Genomic DNA, 14,792 nt, shown 5'->3' on the forward strand with positions numbered 1-14,792 from the left:
TCTTAAATTCATTCCAGTCAGGTCTTTGTTCTCGTCACTTTACTGAAACTGCTCTTGTAAAGTTATTAATGCCTTCTCAAACTCATACTCCTGGGCTCAAGCTATCCTCCCACCTCAGCCTCCCAAGTAGCTGGGATTCCAGGCATCAGCCACTGTACCTGGCCTTATTAATGGCTTCTGCTTTGTTAAACCCAGTGACCGTTTTTCAGGCCTCATCCTATTTGACTTGTCATCAACATTTGGCACAGGTGATTGTTCTCTTCTTGAAACACTCTTACCACTAGACTTTCAGGATGCCACACTTTTGCTTCAACTGATGGGCCTTTGCTGGCTTCTTCATTTTCTTGACCTGTTTAATGTTTTTCTCCGAGACTTAGTCTTTGGAGCTTTATATTCTTTATCTGTACTCACTCCCTTGGTATTATCTGTATTCTTAAACTTTAAATATTACCTGTATGCTGACAGTTCCCAAATTTGCAGCTCCAGACACGTAATCCAGCTGCTTATTTGAACATCCACCCTTGAATATCTAAGAGGCAACTCATATTTAATGTGTGTGAAATGGAGCTTCTGAACTTATTTCCCAAATCTGTCCTTTCTATAGTCTTGCCTCCTATCTGTTAATAGCAATTCCTTTCTTCTATAAGGTAGAAGCCTTAGAATCAGCCTTGGCTACTTTCTTTGTCTCTTATAATCAGGCAGCACATCTTGTGGACTCTACCTAGAAAATATAAAAAGATACCCAGAATCTGGCTCCTTTGTACCACTTTTCTACCACCCCAAGCCAAGTAACCATCACATCTCCCTTGGATTATTGCAGTCGCTTTTTAATTGATCTCCCTGTTTCTCTCTTATGTTTGGAACCTGTTCTCAAAACATTAGCCAATATAAGCCTGTTGAAATATATTAGATTGTCATTCCTCTCCTTGAAACCCTCCAGTGGCTTCCCATTTCACTCAAAATATAAGTCAATATCTTTGCAATGACCTACCAGGGCCTTATATGATTGGACCCTCCTTTATTTCTCTGGCCTTGTGTCTTACTGCTATCCTCTTGACCACTCTGTTCCAGCCACATTGCCCTCTTTATTATATAAGAGCCTCAGCACCTTTCCAGTTGCTGGTTTTTCTCCCTAGATACCTCTTTTCATGCATTTACATGTGTGATTCCTTTACCTTGTTTTGTTTTTGGCCTTCTCTCAAGTGTCATCTTCTCAATGAAGTCTTCTCTAAGCACCCTATTGAAAAATATTACCTTTTCTTACCCCCAGTTCTTCTTCCCTACTTTTTTTTCACTACAGCACTTACCTCTACCTAACATATTATATATTTTTCTTAATTGTTCTGTTTGTGTTCTCTTCCTACTGTATTGTAAACTCCCCCAAGGCAGATTGTTTTTCACTCCTCCAGGGCCTAGAACAGTGCTTGGCAGATAGTATCAATTAAGCAAATGAGTGAATGAATGAATGAATAATAGAAGAACATCATAAGGTTCTTATGTAGATTAAATGAGTTTAACATAAGTAAATTCTTAAGACATGGACCGGCACATAGAAAGTACTCTGTAAGTGTTAGCTTTTATTATAATTTTCATAGCATGTCCATGGACAGTCCTGTAGCCAATAGAGGTGAAGACTTAGTTGAGTTGAGATGTCTTGGCATGCCATCTTCCATTAGCTCAACTTTGACTAGAAGTTCCACAAAGGAAGAACTATGGTGGTTACCCCCAAATTTTGGAGTGTGGAGGTTCCTTAGGGAACCTTGATAATCAAGATTTACAAGGAAAAAAATACCTATAATTATCAGTAACTAGGAATATTACCTGGAGAAACTGATGCTGTTCTTTATCTGCCCCAAATAAACATTACAGTTTAGTGGGAAATGAACTTAAATGCAAAGTTATACAGTTAGTTTTTTCTTTTAAAGTATGAATTTGTCTTAAAGTTCCTAGTCCACAAAAATAATTTTTAAAATATCTCTTCTAATAAAATACTTTAAACAGATAGTAGCTTTTGAAAACATGAGACATCATGTTTTCATCATTTTTGCATGTTCTTCTGTGTGTATGAGGGGATAAAGATTTGTTTACAGATAGTAATCTGTAGCTGTCATATGATATAACTATCTTGGCCCAAGCTTAATGCTTGAAAAGTTTTATTTGATTAAGCATTTTTGTTTCAGGGATACTACATAGGGTCAATATACCATTGTAAATTACTAACATTGCATTTCCTGTACTTCATATTGAAGGTATCATTTTATTCTGGTAAATTACTAACATTGCATTTCCCATACTTCATATTGAAGGTATCATTTTTATTCTGGTAGGCACATAGCTGGCAACCTGGAATAAAAAATCCCTATCGTGGTGTTGTTGTGTGGCCTGTTCCTGAAAACATTGAAATCACTGTAACACTTTTTAAGGTAAGTTCCATTTTTATAGGCTATAGAATTTATTATATAACCAGGGTACCAAATGACAGAATATTTCAGTGTTCATTGTTCTATACATTTGTGTCCAGTCTGGTACCTACTGTGCATTATTTTTAGGGACATAGCAATTTATAACAATGCAAAGGAATCACAGTATTTCATGGTTTATAAAGTCGGGGATCTTCTTGAACTTATTACAATTCAGATCAGCTGACATAGTTCTTTTACCACTTCCTACACTCTACCCACAGAAAACTGTAAAATGCCTTCCCTGTGGAAAGCTGAGGAGTGTGGAATTCTGAGTCTTGACCTTCATTTTGTTAGCCTTGTTTGATAAAAGAATGCTTTAAAATTAGTATATTATAAATATCTTATTAATGTTAATGTAACAAGATGTGTTTTAAATTGATATTTGATAAATATTTTATTGATATTAGTATTTATAAGTGTTGCTGCTTAAAGGCAAAATGCTGGTTGTAAATTCAAAGCACCTCATAGAGGAGGTGCTTTTTAAGAAAGTTATCAGTATGTTTAATTTTTCTGTGATTTAACCAAAAATTAATTTCTTTAGCCTGCTTTTGAGATTTGAGTTAAATTGAAAATAGCTGTTTCCAGTAAATTTTTTTTTAAAAAGACCTTTAGGATTTTGAGAAGGACAATGGCTCTTCAAGCTATTTTTAATTTTTCTCTTTAGTGCAGTGCTAAGAAAGGAGACAGTAGAGGGAGAGTAGGATATAAAAAAAGGCTTAATTGAATTACGCTAGAAGCAATTCTCATTACAAATGTTTTTGTCTGCTCAGTAATATGGTTAATTATGTAGAGATACCATTTTTAAGTGCCTTGGAAATGAACATCATTGCTGCTTATTTTACATCTTTTTACTGACTTGGCCCTATAAGATGTGCCTCTTGGTCTCATTAAAATTATTCTTTGGTAAAAATTATTTTAGGGATAATACATTATCTGTGCTTTAAAACGTATTTCATTGCTTTAAGAGTTAATATATGTCATATGTATATGGTGCTGTTAAATATTTATTAATTTATAAGATATATATTCATTACTTCATTAATCCAATATTCTTGAGAGCCTTGCTATGTGCCAGGTACTTTTCTAGATCCTGGGGGCACAGTGCCTACACTGAATTAACAAAGTGGGTAAAAGTCAGACAGACCTGGAACAGCAACATAGCTTAAACACTAGTTGTGCATTGTGGGAAGCTGCATCTCTTAGGTTTCATTTTTCTGCTCTGTTAAATGGGAGTGAAGATAGTACCTATCTCATAGGTTGCTATGATGAGTAAAACACTTAGCACAAGAACTGGGACATGGTGTTGCTCAGTAAATATTTTATATTATTATTTTGATACTAACTGTGCTGGAGCTGTGCTGCATTCCTCAAAATACAAAATGAGAGGGGAGGGATAGGCAGGGAGAATGGTATGATGTCTCCCCTGCATTGCATCACACTGTATTACTTGCTTTCTAAAGTAGTACTCTCTGTGTCCTAAGTGCATCATGGAAAAGCTCTTTCAACCTTTATATACAATTCTTTTTCTCCTTAAAACCAGTTTATTGGCAGAGCCAGCTGAGGAAGCAAATATTAAGTATATTTTTTCCACTTCCCTTTTCTTTCTACCCTTTCCCTGTTCACCACCACCAAAGAAACTTATTTTGGCAGGTTTTTATCCTACCTATGTGAATTTACTCATAAAAATAGTTGCTTCAATACAGCTCAAACTCAGCCAGCTGCCATGCTATTATACTAGAAAATGAGTAAACAGACATAAGAAGTAACTAAGGAGTTTGGAATTTATCTCATAAGTTGTAGGGGTTGTTAAAGAAATCTGAGTTGGTACTCATATGGTCAGAACTGTGGTTTGGGAGAATTAATCTGTGTACAAGATTGAATGGAGATCAGAGAGACCGAGAGAATGCTGCAGTCACGTTCATCTTGAAATAGCCTAGGTACGATCTCAACTATGGCAATAGAAATAGAAGATCATTAGTAGACCAAAGTGGAATCAATCATAAATAAGATGTTTCTCTTTGAGAAACATGGGACCTGAGAGACCCAGTAGGGAAATATCAGAGTCCATCTCCCATCCGTGTATGCTCAATCTTAGAGTGCAATGTTGAGCCAAAAGCATACTTTATCGAGATAATCTCTCATTCTCTTGATACCTCCATTCCTACCTCACTTCTGATACATGGAGTGGACTTGAGTAAGTTAAATGGGCATGTAATGTGACCCCACTACTTTTCTCTGTTTCTTGTACTTTGTTGCCTTTTGCCTTTACTTACTCTAAAATCTGTGGAAATCTTATATAATCCCACCCAGCCCAGATGTTTTCTCTTTCATGAAGTTTTTCTTGTTCATTCTTGTAAGAAGTAGTATGTCATTTTCTAATCTCTGGTAAAATCATTTATTTCATTCATCATACATTTATTTGGATTTAGAACTACTGTGTTTGTCTTTGAAGGCAAGGACAACTGTCTTTGAATCCATGTAACATCTCTACAATCCCTTATATACTAAGTCCCCCATAAATATTTCTCAAATAAATGCTTGCAAAAGTGTGCTTCATTAAAAAAAAAAAAAAAAAAAAAAGGTTGCATTTGGTTGTAAGATCCATTACCCTTTCTCAGGTTTCTAAGGTATTTCTGGGGTTAATGAGGGAGAGGTAAGAGGAAGGGCATCAGTAGCCCCGCTGATTTGCCATTTTGTCTAGATTATCAAGTCCCTTTTAGTGCTTTGAAATTCCAGCTGTTTATTTAACCTCTGCACTGAAGAAAACGTTGCCGCTAGCGGTACTTTTAAGATACATACAGGTATAAAAATGAAGGCAGGGCTTTATGTTAGCATTTAATATCTTAATAAGCTGCTTCTTAATAGTACATTTACTGGTTTATCTGTCTCTGATCAGGTAGAGTTAGTGATGGAAGATAGTGATATGCATCAACAAAAATAAAATAGAGGATTTCTTAATATTAAATAATGATTATAATTTAGATAAATTATGGAAGTATTATAAAAGTAGGGTATGACCAGGCACAGTGGGTCATGTCTGTAATCCCGACACTTTGGGAGGCTGAGGTGGGTGATCGCTTGAGCCAAGGAGTTCAAGACAAGCCTGGGCAACATGGTGAAACCCCATCTCTACAAAAAATACAAAAAAAACGGACCAGGTGCAGTGGCTCACTCCTGTAATCCCAGCACTGTGGGAGGTTGAGGCAAGGAGATCGTTTGAGCTCAGGAGTTCAAGACCATCCTGGGCAACATGGCAAAACCCTGTCTCTTTTGAAAATACAAAAAATTAGCTGGGTGCAGTGGTGTGTGCCTGTAGTCCCAGCTACTCAGGAGGTTGAGGTGGGAGGATCGCTTGAGCCCAGGAGGTGAAGGTTGCAGTGAACCAAGATCATGCCCCTGCACTGCAGCCTGGACAGCAGAGCAAGACTCTGTCAAAAAAAAAAAAAAAAAAAAGTCAAGACTAAGAAAATCACTCAAAACCATGCATTTACATGGAAATTAAACATCATGCTCTGGAATTACTTTGGGGTAAATAATGAAATTAAGGCAGATATCAAGAAGTTATTTGAAGCTAATGAGAACAACGATGCAACAGACCAGAATCACTGGGACACAGCTAAGGCAGTGTTAAGAGGGAAATTCAAAGCACTAAATACCCATATCAAGAGTTAGAAAAATCTCAAATTAACAACCTAACATCACAACTGAAAGAATTAGAGAAGCAAGGACAAATCAACTCCAAAGCTGGCAGAAGACAAGCAGTAACGAAAATCAGAGCTGAACTGAGGGAAATAGAAAATGAAAACTCATTCAAAAGATCAACAAATACAGAAGTTGGTTTTTTGAAAAAATTAAGATTGATAAGCTGCTAGCTAGACTAATAAGAAAAGAGAGAAGAGCCAAATAAACACAATTAGAAATGATGAAGAGGCTGTTACCACTGACCTCAGATAAGTGAAAATAACCATCAGAAACTACTATGAACACCTCTTTGCACACAAACTAGAAAACCTAGAAGAGATGGATACATTCCTGGACACATGTACCCTCCCAAGAGTGAACCAGGAAGAAATTGATTCCCTGAAAGGGACCAATAACGAGCTTCAAAATTGAATCAGTAATAAATGGCCTACCAACCAAAAAAAGCCCAGGACCAGATGAGTTCACAGCCAAATTCTACCAGATATACAAAGAATAGCTGGTACTGTTCCTACCAAAACTATTCTAAAAAATTGAGGAGGAGAAACTCCTTCCCAACTCATTCTATGAGGTCAGCATCATCCTAATAACAAAACCTGGCAGAGACACAACAAAAGAAAACTTCAGGCCAATATCCTTGATGAACATCGATGCAAGAATCCTCAGTAAAATACTGGCAAACTGATACTAGCAGCACATCAAAAAGCTAATCTACCACGATCAAGTCAGCTTAGTCCTCGGAATGCAAAGTTGATTCAACATATGCAAGTCAATAAATGTGATTCATTACATAAATAGAACTAAAGATAAAAACCACATGATTATCTCAATAGATGCAGAAAAGGCTTTTGATAAAATTCAACATCCCTTTGTGTTAAAGACTCTCAAAACTAGGTATTGAAGGAACATATATCAAAATAATAGCTATCGATGACAAACCACAGCCAACATCATATCGAATGGGCAAAAGCTGGAAGCATTCCCTTTGAAAACCGGCACAAGACAAGGATGCCCTTTCTCACCACTCCTATTTAACTTAGTGTTGGAAGTCCTGGCCAGAGCAATCAGGCAAGAGAAAGAAATAAAGCGCATCCAAATAGGAAGAGAGGAAGTCAGTTTATCCCTGTTTGTAGACGACATGATCCTAATCTAAAATACCCCATAGTCTCAGCCCAAAAGCTCCTGCAGCTGATAAATAACTTCAGCAAAGTTTTAGGATACAAAATCAATGTGTAAAAATCACTAACATTCCTATACACCAACAAAAGCCAATCCGAGAGCCAAATGAGGAACACAATCCCATTTATAATTGCCCCAAAAATAATAAAATACCTAGGAATACAGCTAACCAGGGAGGTGAAAGATCTATATGATGAAAACTGCAAAACACTGCTCAAAGAAATCAGAGATGACACAAACAAGTGGAGAAACATTCCAGTGCTTGTGAATAGGAAAAACAAATATCATTAAAATGCCATACTGCCCAAAGCAATTTACAGATTCAGTGCTATTCCTATCAAACCACCAATGACATTCTTCACAGAACTTGAAAAAACTTTTTAAAAATTCATATGAAACCAAAAAGTCTGAATAGCCAAGGCAATCCTAAGCCAAAAGAACAAAGCTGGAAGCATCATGCTACCTGACTCCAAGCTATACTGCAGGGCTATAATAACCAAAACAGCATGGTACTGGTAAAAAAAAAAAAAAAAAAAAAGCAGGCATGTAGACTAATGGAACAGAATAGATAACCCAGAAACAAGGCCACACACCTGCAACTATCTCATCTTTGGCAAAACTGACCAAAAAAAGCGATGAGGAAGACTCCCTATTCAATAAATGGTGCTGGAATAACTGGCTAGCCATATGCAGAAGACTGAAGCTGGACCCCTTTCTTACACCATATACAAAAATCAACTCAAGATGAGTTGAAGACTTAAATGTAAAACTCAAAACTATAGAAACCCTGAAGGACAACATAGGCAATACCTTCCTGAACATAGGAACTGGCAAAGATTTCATGACAAAGCCACCAAAAGCAATTACAACAAAAGCAAAAGTTGACAAATGAGATCTAATTAAACAAGAGCTTCTGCACAGCAAAAGGAACTATCAACAGAGTAAACAGACAGCCTACAGAATGGGAGAAAATATTTGCAAACTGTGCATCTGACAAAGGTCTAATATCCAGCATCTCTAAGGAACTTAAATTTACAAGAAAAAAACAAAACAACCCCATTAAAAAGTGGGCAAAGGACACGAACAGGCACATTTCAAAAAACATACATGTAGCCAACAAGCATATGAAAAAAAGTTCAACATCAGTGATCATTAGAGGAATGCAAATCAAAATCACAAGATAGCATCTCACACCAGTCAGAGTGGCTATTATTAAAAAGTCAAAAAATAACATGCTGGCAAGGTTGTGGAGAAAAGGGAACACTTATACACTGGTGGTAGGAATGTAAATTAGTTCAACCTTTGTGAAAAGCAGTATGGCAATTCCTCAAAGAGCTAGTGGCAGAAGGACCATTCAACCCAGCAATCCCATTACCGGGTATATACCCAGAGGACTATAAATCATTCTGCCATAAAGAAACATGCATGTGTAAATTCATTGCAGCACTATTCACAGTAGCAAAGACATGGAATCAACCTAAATGCCCATCAGTGACAGACTAAATAAAATGTTGTATATGTATACAGTGGAATACTATGCGGCCATAAAAAGGAATGAGATCATGCTTTTTTCTGGAACATGGATGGAGCTGGAGGCTATTATCCTTCACATACTGTTGCGGGGACAGGAAATCAAATACTGCATGTTCTCATTTATAAGTGGGAGCTAAGTGATGAAAACTCATGAACATGAAGAAGGGAACAACAGACACTGCGGCCTATGGGAAGTTGAAGGGTGAAGGGTGGGAGGAGGGAGAGGAGCAGGAAGAATAACTATTGGGTACTAGAATTCGTACCTGGGTGAGAAAATAATCTGTACAACAAACTCCTGTGCCATGAGTTTACCTATGTAACAAACCTGCACATATACCCCAAACCTAAAATATAAGTTAGAAAAATTATAATAAAAATAATGCAAAAGAAAAGAGTAGGCTATTCTGCCTCTCCATTTTTAAAAGCTAGTAAAAGCTAAAAACAAGGCTATATGTATTTTCTTAATTGGGTTTATTGGACTAAAGACATGTATTTCAATTCCATTTCATATTTTGCTTTTGTTACAGGATCCTCATGCGGAAGAATTTGAAGACAAAGAGTGGACATTTGTCATAGAAAATGTAAGCTAATGGCAAATTCCTTCACCTTTCACATTTTCAACTTTATATATGCATTATTAAGGTACATTGGCATTTTGGTGGTAGGAAAAATGTTGCCTTAAGAAAATTAAATAGTGATTTGTAGCTTTTAGAATGTTTTTAATGAAATGATAGCCAGTAACAAAATTATTTGTAAGAAATGCTTTTATTAACACTGTAAGTCTTCAATACTAAATTGTATGTATGTTTGTATGTATGCGTGTGTATATGTGTATTATATATATAAAAAATATATATATATATTCTGTTTGGGGTTTAAGGGCAAGCCCATGTCTTACTCATCTTTTTATCTGTCAGCATCTAGCATAGTGCTTATCACATAGCAGATACTCATCTAAACATGTGTTGGATGGAACCATGAATGACCTTTGAAATCTTTAAAAATAAAGTATGTGGGCTGGGTGTGGTGGCTCATGCCTGTATCCCAGCACTTTGGGAGGCTGAGGTAGGCAGATCACCTGAGATCAGGAGTTTGTGACCGGCCTGGCCAAAGTGGTGAAACCCTGTCTCTACTAAAAATACAGAAAATAGCTGGGCGTCATGGCGGGCATCTGTAGTCCCAGCTACTTGGGAGGCTGAGGCAGGAGAATCGCTGGAACCCGGGAGGCAGAGGTTGCAGTGAGCCGAGATTGTGCCATTTCACTCCAGCCTGGGTGACAAGAGTGAAACTCCATCAAGAAAGAAAGAGAGCAAGAGAGAGAAAGAAGGAAAGAAAAAGAGAGAAAGAGAGAAAGGGAGGAAGGGGGAAAGGAGGAAGGGAGGGAGGGAGGGAGGAAGAAAGAGAGAAGGAGAGAAAGAGAAGGAAGGAAGGAAGGGCGGGGCTTTAACTGTTTATTTGGGTTGAGAGATCCTAGATTGGTACCTTAATAATCATCTTAAGTTAATTTACATGTTGTGGAATCCCAAGTGACTAGAAGGCATATAGTAGGTATTCAATAAATGTTCATTTACTGGGAATTAAAGAAGACAGCCCATCCAAATATAGTGATTAATAATGTAGGCTTGGAATTCTTGGAAAATCTGTCAAATAAGGGAGTGGACATAGGATGAAATGGAAAATATGTTAACATTCCTTCTCTCCAAACATTTATTAATATATTAGATTCACAGAAATCTAATGAAAATAATACAGATGACAGGAGTCAGGTAAACCTGATTTCAAGTCCTGTCTCTTCTACTTACAAGCTCTGTGATCACTGGGAAATTTCTTAAATTCTCAGTCATACAATTATAGGGTTGCTTGAAGATTAAATAATTTTCAGTGAATATTAGCTTTTACCATTGCCATCATCATCATGACTGTTCATCGTGATAATTGTTAAAGTTCTAAAATGTCTTTATAACAGGCTTATCACATGCTTTGTGTAATATTCTTCCTTTCTATGCCTGACTTTGGTATGTATCTCAGTGACAAAAGGAATTTTTTGTTTATTCCCTGGCAGTAACTGGGCCATGTTTAGGACTAAAGAGCTGAGAAGTTTGGTAGTGAGATCAGGTCCATTATAGATTTACTTTCATATTATGAAGTTATGAGATTTCAGAAGGATTGTGAAATTGCTATATTCTTAATGCATGGGAAAGAGCACAGATGTACATGTTATGACCAAAGCATTTGAAATACATTAACTCAAGAGAATACACTAATTTATATACTCTAAATTAGGGCAACTGTCATAAATTATGAACTATATCAAAAGGATGAGTTTATGTAATTAAACCGAAACGAGACAAACAAAACAAAGGAAGTGCTATATTCTCACCTGGAAGATAGACGAGAATGGGGTAGATCTCCCTCTTCAGTTTTCAGGAGGACATTAATTTCTTTCTGCCAATATCAACTCCTGTATAGTGAGATTTGAGAATAATTTTTTTTTCTCTGTCTAGGTGTATTAACTCTTTTTACCTGCTCTGGAAAATCTAGGCCAGTTTTCTGAGATGTGTACAGGACCCCTACTTGCATAAGTAGATTTAACGAGGGAAAAGTTTTATTTCATTCATCTCTGTATCTACCACAATTTTTTTTTCAAACCATACTACCTTTGGGGTAGTAGCTTCTCAATAAATATTTATTGAAGGAGTGAGTGAATGAATGGTATAGTTAAACTCTGTGAACTGTTATAAATCCTGTAAGGATTATTCTTTTTAAGAGAAAAATACCTGTAATCCCAGCACTTTGAGAGGCCAAGGCAGGCAGATTGCCTGAGGTCGGGAGTTCGAGCCCAGTCTGGCCAACATGGTGAAACCCCATCTTTACTAAAAATACAAAACAATTAGTTGGGCTTGGTGGCGTGCGCCTGTAATCCCAGCTACTCGGGAGACTGAGGCAGGAGAATTGCTTGAACCAGGGAGATGGAGGTTGCAGTGAGCCGAGATCGCGCCACTGCACTCCAACCTAGGTGATACAGCAAGACTCCATCTCAAAAAAAAAAAAAAAAAAAAAAAAAAAAAAAAAAAGAGAGAGAGAAGAATAACGTGAGTAACATCCATCAACTATACAGAAGAAAATTTGAAAAGTAGACCCTAGAGGCAGTAAAACAGCATGTGAAGGATCCATATGCTGTTACAGTAGGAGCTCTTCTGATCAACTTTATTGAACTTGCATAAGCCAATCTCATGAGATTTGTCTGTATTACCATCTGTGGGATTAAATATTCTTAGGCTGGGCATAGTCTCTCACACCTGTAATCCCAGCACTTTGGGAGGCCAAGGCGGGTGGATCACTTGAGGTCAGGAGTTGGAGACCATTCTGGCCAACATGGTGAAACAGCGTCTCTACTAAAAATACAAAAATTAGCCAGGTATGGTGGTGCATGACTGTAATCCCAGCTACTCAGGAGGCTGAGGCTGAAAAATCACTTAAACCTGGGAGGCAGAGGTTGCAGTGAGCCAAGATCGTGCTACTGCACTCCAGCCTGAGCGACAGAGCAAGACTCTGTCTCAAAAAGAAAAAAAAAAAAAAGAGAGAAAAGAAAGGAAGAAAGAAATGTTCTTAGACATTTTCTTTAAACCAAAATTTGATATAAGTAGACGTTGCATTTTTCAAGTATTAGCAGTTTGCTTTACTTGACATAATCTAATGAGAGATTTTTAACCTTTTAAATAGATGATTCAGTATTCATTCATTCAGCACTTAAGTATTCATTGAGCGTGTATTATGTGCTAGATACTGTTCTAGGCATTGGAAATGGTGGTGTATAAAACATATGATTCAAGACCAGCCTGGGCAACACAAAGGAGACTCAGTCTACAAAAAAATAAAAAAAATTAACTGGACGTGGTGGCATATGCTTGTGGTCCTGACTGTTCAGGAGGCTGAGGTGGGAGGATTGCTTGAGCCCAGAAGGTCAAGGCTGCAGTGAGCTGTGATCGTGACACTGCACTCCAGCCTGGATGACTAAGTGAAACCCTGTCTCAAACAAAACAAAACAAAAAAAACCAGATAACAAGTTAACAAATCTCATCGCTGTGTAGTTTACACTCATATGTGTGTGTGTGAGAGAGAGGATAAAAATTACTGTATGAAAGATTTAGTATGTTAGATAAAATAAATACATAATGTATGCTAAATATATATAGTAGGTTACATAAATGCTCTATGGAGAAAAAAGGAAGAGGGATAAGGATCCCCCGTCTTTATGATTACATAGTTATAATGAGCCACCTTATTATTTCTAAAGTCTCCAAAAGAGAATTGGGGTATGCTTGTCAAATTTATTTAAAATATATTTTAATAAGAGAGTTGATGAAATGAATATTGTAAGGTATGGGAAAGTTTTAAAATAACCTTGGCATTCTATATATAAACCTCTCCTAGGTTATAGCTCCCCTCAGTGGTGAATGATGAAATTGACTTTTGCTGATCATTATGTAGCAATAACATGTTACAATGTTATACTTTCCCTTACATTTTAATGTGCTTTCACATTTCATGCAAAAGAATTAGTGAATTTCAAAGAGCTAAAGTTCTTCTCTTTGTCTTGTAAAACCTCGGTTTTGTTAGAAATTCTGTTGGTATATTGTCCTGACACTGAAAAGGTATGCTCTTTGAATGGAATTGTAATACCTTTCTTTTCTTTGCACATTGTGTTACAACCCCACAGTTAATAAAGAAATGTTGAGACTTTAACCGTAATGTCCAGTAGTAGCATTAGTAACAAAGAGTGAAGTTATATTTAATATAAAATATCCCAATAAAACAGAAGTCTCCAAATATATATCACTGTAACAAATTTATTGGACCCTTACTATGTACCAGGTACTATGTATAATAGAATGCTTTATACACATTATCTCATTTGCTCATTATAATAACTCTGGTGTGAGTCAGATATAACCCTATTTTACAGGTAAAGAAAGTGAGGTTTAGAGAGGTTAAGTAACTTGCCCACAGTTATATAGCTAACAGGTTGGGATTTTATCCAGTCTTGTCTTTCTCCAGGGCCTTTGCCCTTAACCCCTACTGCAATAACTAGCTACCTTAATAAGAAAGATGAAAAGAGATCATTTGAAATTGTAGAATCATAGGGAAGCTTTTAATCAGTCTTCTGTAGTGGTAAGTCTGTGAAGAATATATGTATCAGATTAGTGAAGGTAGTCTTTAATTATTGTTTATATACAGTTTAGAAGTTATTTGGGTTAATTATTTCACTACTGTTAGACATTATAAAATGGAATTCTAGAATTTATCAGTCACTAGAATTCTTAATATTTTTTCTCAAGGCAACCTTACTGCTTCTTTGTGCAAATTGACATAATGCTATTTTCATTTTATTGGTTCTCTTGTTTCTGATTTCTCCGTTTTGTCTGAGCTTTCTTCTTTGGACCAGAAACTTTAGAGTTGAAATTTTAGAGGTGGTTCTGCCACTTACTGGCTATGCAACCTTAGATAAGTCATTTAATATTTCACAGCTTCCATGTAGTCATGTATAAAATGATGGTATTAATATCTACTCCACAGGTTATTGAAGATTGGAAATAATGTATGTAAAGCATCTAGCTTGGTAAGGAGTAGCTATTTTTATAATGTTCCTTTCTAGAGGACACAGAAGAATATAAAGGAAAGAAAACTAGATTTCTAAATTTTATTGTTGCAGGATTTTAGTTTTTCCATTCCTTTCTACCACTTACACCTCTCAATGATTTCTAGACTTTACTGTTATCTCAAAGCAATGACAAGGCAACTTGTAACATCTCACTTGGACTAAACTTAAAATATTTTTCTTTTTATCTTTTGATTTAGGATATCTTCCCCTTATAAATTTAATCTAGGATTAACAACAAGTATTTCTTTTGGATCATT

General features: G+C 36.4%; 1 protein-coding gene across 52 annotated transcripts in view; it reads left to right on the forward strand.

Annotated features, from left to right (window-relative positions):
* EHBP1 (EH domain binding protein 1) overlaps positions 1–14,792 on the forward strand; it is a 372,610-nt gene that overhangs the window by 88,061 nt on the left and 269,757 nt on the right. For all 52 annotated transcript variants that reach the window (XM_047443744.1, NM_001142615.3, XM_011532718.4 and 49 more), the window contains 2 exons: positions 2,328–2,423; positions 9,401–9,454. In XM_047443744.1, coding sequence (XP_047299700.1) covers positions 2,328–2,423; positions 9,401–9,454 — 150 coding nt within the window. The remainder of the gene's footprint in view (positions 1–2,327; positions 2,424–9,400; positions 9,455–14,792) is intronic.

The sequence above is a fragment of the Homo sapiens genome, chromosome 2 (genome assembly GCF_000001405.40).
Source record: "Homo sapiens chromosome 2, GRCh38.p14 Primary Assembly".
Classification (NCBI taxonomy): domain Eukaryota; kingdom Metazoa; phylum Chordata; class Mammalia; order Primates; family Hominidae; genus Homo; species Homo sapiens.